Source organism: Homo sapiens, chromosome 3, assembly GCF_000001405.40.
Source record: "Homo sapiens chromosome 3, GRCh38.p14 Primary Assembly".
Classification (NCBI taxonomy): domain Eukaryota; kingdom Metazoa; phylum Chordata; class Mammalia; order Primates; family Hominidae; genus Homo; species Homo sapiens.
The window spans coordinates 152,648,770-152,661,036 of NC_000003.12; the positions used below are offsets into that span (position 1 = coordinate 152,648,770).

Here is a 12,267-nt window from a genome sequence, read left to right on the forward strand (position 1 = left end):
TAAGCAATACAAACAAATTAAGGTACTGTGTATGTTAGAATGTTAAGAAGTGCAAAGGATTTGGAAAACATTGCTGCAGAGCCTGAGAAGCATTTGCAGGTTGAGGTTACTTGTGTCTCAGAATCCATTGTAAACAAAACATAGGAAAGATAACAGAGTCATGGATCTCTATGGCTCTGTGACTTTAGGCAATTTCAACCTCTCAGATCCTTAATTTCCTTATTCACATGAAGGGTTGGATAATAATAGTTGATAGATTGATAATAATAATACTTGCCTTATAAAATTGTTATAAGGGTTAGAAATAGTTAATGCATGTGAAAGACTTAGCTCAACCTGGCATGTAATGAACATTCGTCACATGTTATCTGTTGTGAATGACAAGAATTAGTGAGAAAAATCTCAAAATTGCCTTTGTGATTCTGGAACTGAAACAGAGGGCAGGTTTTGACTTAGTTCTATGGTGATTAAAAGCTAAATGCTTCTACCTTTGTTTACCATCAACAGCTATATCTCTTTCTCATTTTTTTATCTGTCAAAATTCAATGAAAATATGCAAGTTCCTTTCTCACTGAGTCTTTTTTTTTTTCCTGTGTGTGTGTGCTTAGGGAAACAATATATTTACAAGCATTTGTCTTTCTCCTCAATTACATACTTAAACATTTATCTTTTAAAGAAACGAACAGTAAACACACATACACACACACACACACATGCACACACACTAATGGCAATACTCTTGGACAAATGATAGTTGCTTTTTTTTTTTTTTTTTCATGGAAAGAAGGAGGTTTAGTTTACAGATGTTTGAACCAGCTTAAGCTCCCCCAGGTCTCAACCTCTGTAAGTCTTCTGTTTTCTTCCTCTTTACCTTAGAGTCTTTTCCAATGATACAGTTAGACATATTAACTTTATTTTTTAAATCCATGCCTAATTGGTATGATTGTAAAAGCAACAGTAATTAGTTATTTCTTTGAAGGAGGAGATTAGAATAAAAAGTTATTTGTAAAGGGAATGAAAACAATTGTTTTATCACTGCTATTGTTATTTAGGGGTGGTGAAATCAAATAAAATTTTGTTCTTGGAGAAAGAATGGAGTCTCTTCAGAAGTGCCAGGAACTTTATAGGAATTTTAAGAAAGCCTGACCCAAATTACTTCTAGATCTAAAATATTTGTTCTTTTCTATGTAACATTAAAGTGAAAGTGATAAAATATTGTAAAGGCTGACATAATAACTGATGTTCAGAGCAGTAACTGTAAGTGACAAGGAGCTGTGGCTCATGGAAAATAAAAGCAAAACAGCTTTCCCAATGCTCTGATGATATTGACTAACTAGCAACGAGGGGTCTCATGATATATTTATGATATTTTCTAAATAACTCATGCATTTTTTAAAAAATCGATTCATTTTTCAGGGTGATAAGAGTAGCTGTGGTTTTCTTTCACTTAGGGTATGTGTGTTTATTCCTGATGTCTTTGTAAACACAGAGCTGAGGATGGTGATCCATCTTCATGAAATTCACTAGGCGCAGGCTTCACTGTACTTAAACAGAGTGCCAAAGCTGACATCACCTTCCTTGTTCTCACAGGGCTCCAGCTGGGTGAACTATGGGGCATTTGCCCGGAGTTCATGCTCAGCATCAGGGTCAAAGCAAAGGGAACTCTGACAATGATTCCATTGTGAACTTGTTCTGGGAATGCCATGATGATTCTCTATCATGTTCCTCGTACACTGCACCAGCACCACTGCTTCCCTTCCCAGTGAGAACCCGATCAAGCTTTATCATGCAGCCCAGAAGGGTGGGGGAAAGAAAAAGAATTAGGAGAAAATGTAAGTTGAAACAGTTGCTGTACTAACCTGTTGCATCCCCAAATGATGAATCTTATTTTTCCTGCTTCTGTAATTTCTGCCATCTACTCTAAAATAGAAATATTAGAATAGAGAAAATGTAAATGTCATTTTACATGTAAGGAAATCAGGACACACAGTGTTCAAAGTATTGACTCTAGAAGTGGAAATCAGGGGTTCTGTAATCCATTCAGGAGCTGATTCCTATATATTATTTTAGAAACCCTTAATACATTCTAAATCTGTCTCATTATTGGCTAAGTAGAAATAATCTGAGTACAGTATCAAGACATAGAAAAATGTACAGTTGGTATCTTTCCTAGCTTTAAGAGTTAAACTGTTAGGAAAAAATGTGAAAAACATTTCAATGGACAAAATCATTACTGAATGTTCTGTTAGAGTTATCTCTTTTCCTTGTCTTTGAACTATTTCACAACTCTATGTGTTGTAAAAAAACTAATAATAGGGGCTGGGTGCAGTGGCTCATGCCTGTAATCCTAGCACTTTGGGAGGCCAAGGTGGGCGGATCACCTGAGGTCAAAAGTTCAAGATCAGCCTGGCCAACATGGTGAAACCCCATCTCTACTAAAAATACAAAAAAATTAAGTGGGTGTGGTGGCACACTTCTGTAATCCCAGCTACTTGGGAGGCTGGGGCAGGAGAAGCGCTTGAACGCAGGAGGCAGAGGTTGCAGTGAACCGAGATAGCACCCCTGCACTCCAGCCTGGGTGACAGAGTGAGACTCTGTCTAAAAAAGGAAAAGAAAACTAATAATAGGTATCCATGGCAATGCAAATGAATTGTGTGTGGTAGAACTTAATTAGTTATTGTCAGGTGGATATTGACAGTATCACAACTACATGTATATTCACTTCCAAATTTCTGGGGATGTCTGTTGTATATGTGTGCTCTAAGAATTCTCCTTTGACGTGATTATAACATCTTAGTGGTACTCTCATTAATTAATGAATTAAATAAAATATTTGACAAAGTTTGCTTTCTATTTGTGTGGTAATAGTTTTACAATAAAAAATCCTTCATCAAGAGCTTTAAACAATTTATAGAAGCTTTGTTTTTTCTTTCAATTATAAACCTATAAGTAAAAAAATTCGCCACAAAATTAGAAATGTTCTGATTTGCTTAGTCAACTCCTATTAAATGTTTCTGTCTTTGGTGTTGAACAAAGGTTGTAAAAGTAATGAGATAATATGAGAATGTGCTTTGGGAACTGCGAATCTGGAGTCACTGGTCCATGAGGAATCTAGGATAAGAAGAAGGAAGCTGTGAAGAATGGTTGGCTAACAGTGCTGGCAAGGAATTCAGATCAACATACCTCTCAAAAGAATGGAAGTCTCTTAAACTCAGGTAATTGTTAAATTGGTTCAAGTGTATTATGGCAAGAATGCTTCTCTCTCCTTCCCTAATATAACACTGCCCTAAATGACTCCCTACCTCCCTGTTTTGTCTCACGCTTGACAGTGAAAACAAAGATAAATATTTGAGGAAACATAAACTCAATAATGTCATTTATTGGAAAGCTACAGTTTACAGATTCTTTGCATTTATTACCAGAGCTGTTCCTTACAACAACTTTATCTGAACAGTATTATTAGCTACATGCTGTAGATGAGAAAAGCAGTGCTCAACGAAACTAACTTGCCCTAGAGTATCCATCCAGTAACTGGTGAAGCTGGGATTTCAACTTCCTTTTCTTTTTTCTTTCTTTTTTTAAAAATCTTAATTCTGAAGCTGTTATGCATTATGGAACCTGTGTAGTTCCGTTCTGAGTTCTACTATCTGGTTCAGAATCTTGGCTCTACCACTTCAGCCCTCCCCCTCGCTCCAGGAAAGAAATCACACAAGCTTTTGGGGGGAAAGATTAGAATGGAAAGGTCTGAAATACAAGAGGAAAACCATAAAAGTGTGTGTGCCCAGAGGGAAGAGAGGAGAGAATTTCAATAAGAATGGGATGATTACCTGTGTAATCAGGTAATCAGCTAATATAGATGAAAACAGTATTTTGCATTGCGATATTAGATAGTTATAGGCCAACTTTGCCAGAAAACTTTAGCAGAGTGCAGACAGAAATGAGATAATAGTCTGTTATAGGCAGGGAGAATGTGGAGACAGGAGAAAGAAACTGAAAACACAGGAGAGGGATGAGACGCTGGTAAATATTTCTTAACAGACCCCAGAGAAGTAGGCAAGACCATCTAAAGGAGAGACAGATGCATGAGTCTTGGAAATCAGATGGTAAAAACCTGGTGGCAGGTTTGAATGTCTCTGTGAAGTAAGAGAGAAGGGTGCTGCTAGGGAAAGGGATTAGGGTGAAGGAGCAGCAAGGAAGGTGAAGGACAACTGGACAGTTTGCACGTGGATGGTTTTGACTTGCCATTGTGAGGGATGACAAAAACTGCATTCTCTGAGCATAAACATGGTTGGCCAGATAGTCTGCAGGCCAACTGTGAGTGTAAATTTGGAGCAGCACCTATCTGAAGGGTGGTGTGGTTTCCCCACCAGAATTCAAGAACCTAAAATAATGGAGTGGTTTAGGATTAGGGCTGGGGCCAAGTGTGATAGCTCACGTTGGTAATCACAGCACTTTGGGAGCCCAAGGCAGGAGGATCTGTAGAGTCCAGGAGTTCGAGACCAGCCTTGGCAACATAGCAAGAACCTGTCTCTACAAAAAATAGATAAATTTTTAAAAATAAAAAAAAGATTAGGGCTAGGTAGGTAAAATAGATAGGTTTAGGAAAGGACAAAGAATATGAGGGAAACAGGAATGCTAACAGAACTGGCTAAAGTGATAAAGGAGAAAGAGGGCTGTCTATCTGAATATAAAAGCAGTCGAGCTTGGTTGGGGTTGTGAGCTGGTGAAACAAGCAGAGTACAAAGTAATGAGGCTTCTCTAGGACAAAAAACGGTGGTGATGAAACATCCTCGGTCAGATTTCATCTAAAGGCAAGGTGAGCACACATAGGACATTGCTGATTAAATTGGAAAACTCCCTCTGTGTCTCAACCCTGGAAATATTAAAATGAATACATTATTAAACACTACTTTTTATCCTAATATAAACCATTTTAAACAGACTCCTCTTCCAGCTAAATCCGAAATAGCATTAGAATATGATGAGCTTATAAATCAGTAATGGTCTGTAGATGTATCTTATTATTTCTTTTTCCTTTGGGGGTAGGTAATATTGTTTTTGTCTGTCCGTGCTTTGCTTAGAAGCCATCCAAGTCATCTACCCAAACCCAAGAAACATGATAGCAGAAAGCCCATTTAAGTAATTCTTATAAGTGATATCTTTAGAGTCTTCTTGAAAATATAAAAGGGAAATGAGAAACCACCACACAAATCTCAATGTTCAAATTTCAAGATCTTAATCTATTTTATTTATGGACTTGATTGGGAATAAAGAAAAGCTAGTCACCTTTTTTTCTTTTTCTTTTTCTTTTCTTTTCTTTTTTTTTTTTTTTTTTGAGACAGAGTCTCATTCTGTCTCCCAGGCTGGAGTGCAGTGGCGTGATCCCGGCTCACCACAGCCTCCACCTCCTGGGTTCAAGCGATTCTCTTGCCTCAGCCACCTGAGTAGCTGAGATTACAGGCATGCTCCACCATTCCTGGCTAATTTTTGTATTTTTAGTACAGACAGGGTTTCACCATGTTGTCTAGGCTGATCTGGAATGCCTGCGCTCAAGTGATCCGCCTGCCTTGGCCTCCCAAAGTGCTGGGATTACAGGCGTGAACCATCGTCCCCGGCCCCCAAAACTAGTCACTTTCTATTCACGCACAGGAAAACAACCTATTTCCAGTCAGATCTCTGGTTCTCATGTTGAAAGATGGCAGAAAGCAAAAGGAGGAGGAGCAATTTTGATAGCTAAATAAAACTCATTTATCACCAGTTTCTATATTTTTGTGTGTTTGATAGATTTTCGCCTTGTGTTACTTGTTTGTTTAAAAACTGATGAAAATCTTAAGAAATTTAAAAGGAATTTGTCATTACTTAAGGACAGCAGAAGGGTTTCTTTTTCTTGTTTTCCTCTCACCTCTTTATGAACTCAGTATTAGTTGATTCTCTATGTTAATAGCAATATAGACACTATAAATACAAATCTAGAGAAAATCCCAGACTTAATATTTGCTGAAATTGCCCAAGAAAATGAGACATCAATTCTACTAGTCTTGAATCTGCTTAAACTTTCTCATCTTTAAGGAAATATTAAGTTAAAGTATCAATTTGGAAAACTTGCAAAATAATTTGGGGCAGGGTGGCAGGGCTGGAGGGGTCAGTGGAAGTGTTAATGATGGACTCCCTGAGATGGAGTTGGCAGTGGCACTCTGCAAATCAATCCAGAGTCAGAAGGCTAATGTATGCACACGAGTCTATTAAGCTCTTCTCTATAACAGGCTCAGCATTTTCCTTTCCATTTTTCTACCTGGAAATACTGTTAGTCAGCTAATGCACCTTGCTACAAGAAGCAAGAAAGACTTTTGGGATTTGGAATATAATAATGCCTTTGGTATTGTACAGATTAATTTTCTTAGCATTTTGCCTAACGTAAACTGGCCTAATGCAAAAAGGTTAACTTCTTTTAAATATTATTTTCAAATCTTAATTTTCATTTCAATATTTTAATATATAGCAATATAATTTTAATAATCAATTTCCCATTCAAATCCAAAGGGAAAGGAATGCAAACGAAACAAATGCAGGGAATCATATCAGAACCAAAAGAAGTTAGATGGAATTTAAGGGCCTTCTACATACTTAGTAATAGTTAATTATTTTAGGGATTTCAAATTCTATCTTAATTCAGTAAAATTTTAAAATGAAATTTAAATGAAAACATTTCAATGAATAAAATTTAAATGAAAAATTTTAAGATGAGTCATTCTTTTTCTGAATATGTTCCTTTGGGTTTTAATTAGAATATAGCATATGCACAAGGTAACCATCTGGGATGAGCCCTGAGCAAAGTCAGAACTACATCAGGAAAAGGTGGTTTTCACATTTGCTGCCTTTTCCCATTATCATGCTTTCTGGTACTCCTATTTCATGCAAGTGTTATATAATCAAATATCTTCATTCTTGAATTAATTTGGGGGAAAATTTTAACTTTTTTTCTGGCTTTATTGAGGTAAGTTAACACAAACCGTATAAATTCAAGGTATACAATGTGATGGTTTGATATACATATACATTGTGAAATGTATCTAATTACAATTAATTACAATTAACTAATTGCTGTTAATTATCAGATTAATTAACACATTCATCACCTCACATAGTTAACATTTTGTATGCATGGCAAGGAAGGAATGAGGACACAAGTTCTATTCTCAGCAAATTTCAAGTAAACAATACGGTATTAGTAACTATATTCACCATGCTGTATGTTAGATCCCCAGGACTTACTCGTCTTGTAATTGAAAGTTCTGGATTAATGTATTTGAACATTAACTTGTAAATCATTTTTTTGAGAAAACCTAAAGTGTTCTAGAATGCTATATTTTAAAGAAGAATTCTCAAAGTTTATTTATTTATTTTTTAGCTTATTTTCTTTATGGCTGCCCCATAGCCAGCCCCCTAGCAACTGTCTGCTCTTCGGCCTGATGCAAAATGTCAGGTCACTTGCTGGGAACAGAGTTTGGAGGGCGGGGGTCTGGAAATGAATTTAGAGCCGTAGGATGCAGGTTCACATTTTCTCCTGGATCAGCTATGTTTCTCCAGGCTTCCGGGTACGGATCTTCAGGGAAGAAGTAGCTAGGCACTCCCAAGAAAGCTCTCAGTCTCTTCAACTTCCTCATTTCAGCTTCCCTGCACTCTGGAATTAAACTTTTGTGCAGCCAGGCTGTGAGAACTGATGCATAAATCATGAGATAGGGCTTTATTAGGGGGAGTAAAGAATTCTCTCACATGGAAAATGTTCACAAACAGATCCTCAACAGTTGTTTAGAATGCCTGAAATTTGTTATTAATATATATGTACCACTGAAGAGTTACAGTGAATGTCAATAGAAGAATATAATTTTGCACGTCTCCATTTTGTCACCGTATCTTCAGTGTTTCAAAATCCTTTGCTCCCTTCCAAAAAAGATTCTGGGATTTAGTAACATAATGATACTAAGTTACTTTCTACTTAAAAACATATTAAAGGTAGAACTGAAAGATATTTTACAAGCCAAGACAGAATCCCGGCTCTGGAGTTCTGTTACTCTTGTAACCATTGATAAAATCACTCGACCGGAAGCTGCTGCTTGGAGCTGCATTCTGCAGTGCTAATTTTAAGTGTTTGATGTTATCAGCTGTACCAGGGAAAACCAAAGCAACAATGAGTGTCAAGTCTTGGTAGACCAAAGAAAAAGTATGCCTAGACTATTTTGTGAAAATTCAGATATCTCTAATTACTGTAAATCCAGATTCATGTGCCAGCAAACATTTGTTGCTAAAATTGTTTAAAATTCACTTCCATCACCTTCTTCATGAAAGCAGAGACCAACTTGACTATCATTGTTTATGCTGCCCTTTGAAAACTTTTCTGTGATCAAAGATGACAAAAGCAATGCAACAGCCTACTTCTCTGGGAAAAGCTAGCCCCAGTGCCTAAGGGAAAACATTCACTAACTCTTTTCATATGAAAATCAGTCTTTGTTCAGAGAAGGAGGGGAACAAGCAGAGACTTTTACTGGGACAAGTAAATCAAGCCTTCAGCAACTCAAGGAACAAACATACAAGACAAGCTCAACTCCTCGTTAAGACCAAATTAGGACAACACTACAAGAAAATAAATTGTTTTATCTGGTTGTGGTGCTTTGGGGATAGTTAATTGACTACTCAAATAACAACTTTGATAGTATATGAACTGTGACTGTGTTAGTAGGTTTTAATTAGCAGGAACTTTTTGTAAATTGGACAAAAACTTTTTTTATTATGACTAGGAAAACTGCTGTTTTCTATTTTTGTTTTGCTCTTTTAAGTGATACCGAACTTTAGTTAATCCCTCAGTCCTAAATTATGGCTGTTGCGAATGAGGGCTATAATAGTTATCCCATTTTATTTTAAATTTTGTATTAATGTTGATAGAGATGAAAGAAGAAAAATATTTGCACTCATGCTGAAATTGCAAAGGAACATGTGTGAATGACCTCTTGGATACTTGTTGCTTGGAAATGCGAGCAATAGTTTCTTTATTTTTATTTTATTTTAGTTTTTTGAGACATGGCCTTGCTCTGTCACCCAGGCTGGAGTGTAGTGGTATGATCAGGGCTCACTGCAGCCTCAACTTCCCTGGTTCAAGCAATCCTCCCACCTCATGCCTGGCTAATTAAAAAAATTTTTTTTTGTAAAGACACAGTCTTGCCATGTTGCCCAGACTGGTCTCGAAGGCCTGGGCTCAAGCGATCCTTCTGCCTCTGTCTGGAAAGCAGTAGTTTCTATGCAGTGACACCTATACTACTAACTATAATTGAACTTAACCTAGAAAAGCATTTTGCATGTTTAGCTTTTAAGTGTGTTTGACAGAAAAGGAGAAAGGAACCTGAAATAAGAAATAATCTAGTGATAAAATTGTTGATGTTCTCCTTCACTGTAATCCATTCCAAATATAGTTTATTTTGCTACAGAGCATGTTCTGTAATGTAAATGGAAATAAGATTGTTAAAGAGGGAATGATGTGAACATAACTTGGGTGATGAGAAGGCTCCTAAGGGATTTTCCCCCTGCATTTTGCACTGCCAGCATTTACACTGCAGCAGAGTGCAAAATATGCTAACAAAGCTGCATACAGCAAACCTTAGAAGAATACAGTACTGTACACCATGTCCATTCATCCTATCTTCCCAGGAGGTTGATCATGTGCAAAAGAAACAATGACAAGATAATGATCCAAAATCACCAGCCATATCTTTGCTGTGGTATGTGTGAAACTTGCATCTACTTATTACATAAAATGCTACACCTGTAACTTCTGATGGTGTTGTGCTTTTTTCTGTAATTCAGCAGTCTTTCTTTTACCTCATTCTGATAGCCTACTTTCATTTGTATTTGGAATAAAGTCATATTAGTTACTGTAGTATTGCTTTCTTTATTATGATTTTAACATTTTTTAAAAACTGTGATAAATTGTTATTGAGTAGGATTTGTTATTGTTGTTAATGCTCTGGTCATCAAGTGCATTAAGTTTTGAGTGGTCTATGCTAATTCTATTTTTTCCCCCATTAACTTTGTAACTTGAAGTGTGCAATGTAGCTTAATGCAAGCTTTTCAGAAATGCACGTGTATGTTATATCAGATGTTTGTACTGTGGTAGGACTTTCTCCCTAGTTCAGCTAAAGATGGGGTCCTTGCCATACAGCTATGTAGTATTAGGCCTGCAGACACTTTGAAGGGTGAGAAAAATGGAATTTATTGGAAAAAAGGAAAAAAGGGGAAAGAGGGACCCTCAGCAGAGTGAGAGTCCTGCTAGTATATGCTTCCCGCGTCACAGATTGAATTCCAGGTTCCACCCAGGAAGAAGAGGGGCCAGGCTCCTCCCCAGGGCAAACAGAGTGAACTTCCTGAGGCTCCACCCCAGTGTGCATTCCTCCCAGCACACAGGCCAGTTGGGGGTTCTCCAGTGACTCCTTTATATTTGGCTGTCTCGTTACTTCTAAAATATTTCATATTCATAAAATAAAAATGTTTTAATAATGTTATATATTTGTAAAGGCATTTACAATCTTCAAACTTCTGCATGAAAAATCTCTCAGAAGTCAAAAATGGATTTACTGTCCTGATGTAAAATAACCTGCAAATCTTACTTTCTAATTTTGGTGATATATGTGTAAAAAGAAATAAATCATCTCATGAACAAAATTAAAAAAAAAACAAAAACTGAGAAGTTGCGGTGAGTTCTGAGGCAGTACGGTGTGGCATGAGAATGCAGGCTCTGAATCTACAGACTGCCTGGTTCAAATACTAGCTCTGCCAAAAACTAGTTACATAAATGGAGCAGATTATTTAACCTCTCTTTATGCCTCAATTTTCTCATTTACAAAATTGTTGTTAGCATTAAGTGTGTTAATACTTATAAAATACTTCATATTTATATGTATGAAGTATTATTACTGCTTTAAAATACCATTGACTGATCACATTATTATACAGTACATATCTTCTACTGATATATGAGTTCCTTGAAGTAAGACCTATGTCTTATTGCTGTTACATCTTCAATGCATGAAACATAAGAAATGTTCAATCAGTGCTAGTTGAATTGAATTAAATTTTTTAATTACTATTTTTTGTTTTCCTTTGACTAGATAATTTGTTTGGAGATTCTTCCAAAGATAATCACTTTTCTTCCTGTGCAACCTATATATTTTTTAAAACTATTTTAAATTATTTAGTTTTAGAATTCTTTCTTATCTCTAAAATGTAAAAAGATATCAACAGATAGCATCAACAAATAGGTATCAGATGGTGAGATAAGAGATAACAAAAGCTGATAAATGTAAAAGCAAACAACAGTGAAAATTTGTGATATACAAGTTTCAGTTCCAAAGAAACAACGGATTAAGCTTTTATAAATAGCTAAAATGAATAACAATTCAAGTGAATACCTCTTAAGATATGCTACTCAACAAATGCTTTTTGAGCCAAACACTCTTTTGGATGCTGAGGACTCAGAAAAAGAAAAAAAGTGCTTTTCCTGAAAGTCTTCTGATATTATTAAAGGGATGAAACATATATATTATAACCCTTGACTAACACGGAGTCATAAAGTCTTGAATATATGAAGTCATGTCATAGGTAATTAACCAGATTGGGTTCTAACCTTTAAATAATCTCTCCAAGCCCGTCAGCTGTAAAAAAGTTGTTAATGTTCCTTCAAAATGTGAAATTCTAGAGCTTAATATCTATAAATAGAGCTTTCATTGTTATGCCTCAAAATTCAACAGCTTTCTCAGTTGACAGACATTTGTCTCATATTCCTTAAGTTACCTTTTCCTACTCAGGAATAACCTTTTCTTACTTTTCAAAGAATAAAAGACATACAGATTTGGCAACAAGTAGGTTATTAGTAACATTCAAGCAAATAATAGCGCAACTTTTTAATGATAGTAGATTTAATTATAAAGCCTTATAAAGGAAATTGATAATATATTCCAAATGAGACATCTTATTCGAATGCTCTGTGGATCATTAAAACACATTTATTACTGTTGGTCAAGGAATGCAACCCTATTCCACTTCATATTAAGGTGAGAATTATGAATTAATTCCTTAGTATTCATAATGTTTAAATAGATTAAGATCAATTTCCTTAAACTCCAGTGTCTCTAAATACCTTTCTAATTTACTGTTTCCATTGTCATCCGTTGTATAGCATGGTGTCTTTTACCTGGTCAACATATCACCTCCTCTTGCTGG

The 12,267-nt window shown here is 36.0% G+C and overlaps 1 long non-coding RNA gene across 1 annotated transcript in view; it reads left to right on the forward strand.

Annotated features, from left to right (window-relative positions):
• The first annotated feature begins 1,716 nt into the window (after positions 1–1,716).
• The window catches only part of LOC102724289 (uncharacterized), a 28,975-nt gene continuing 18,424 nt past the window's right edge, over positions 1,717–12,267 (forward strand). Inside the window, exons 1-2 of the long non-coding RNA XR_924590.3 lie at positions 1,717–1,832; positions 3,037–3,215. This is a non-coding gene — a long non-coding RNA (uncharacterized LOC102724289). The remainder of the gene's footprint in view (positions 1,833–3,036; positions 3,216–12,267) is intronic.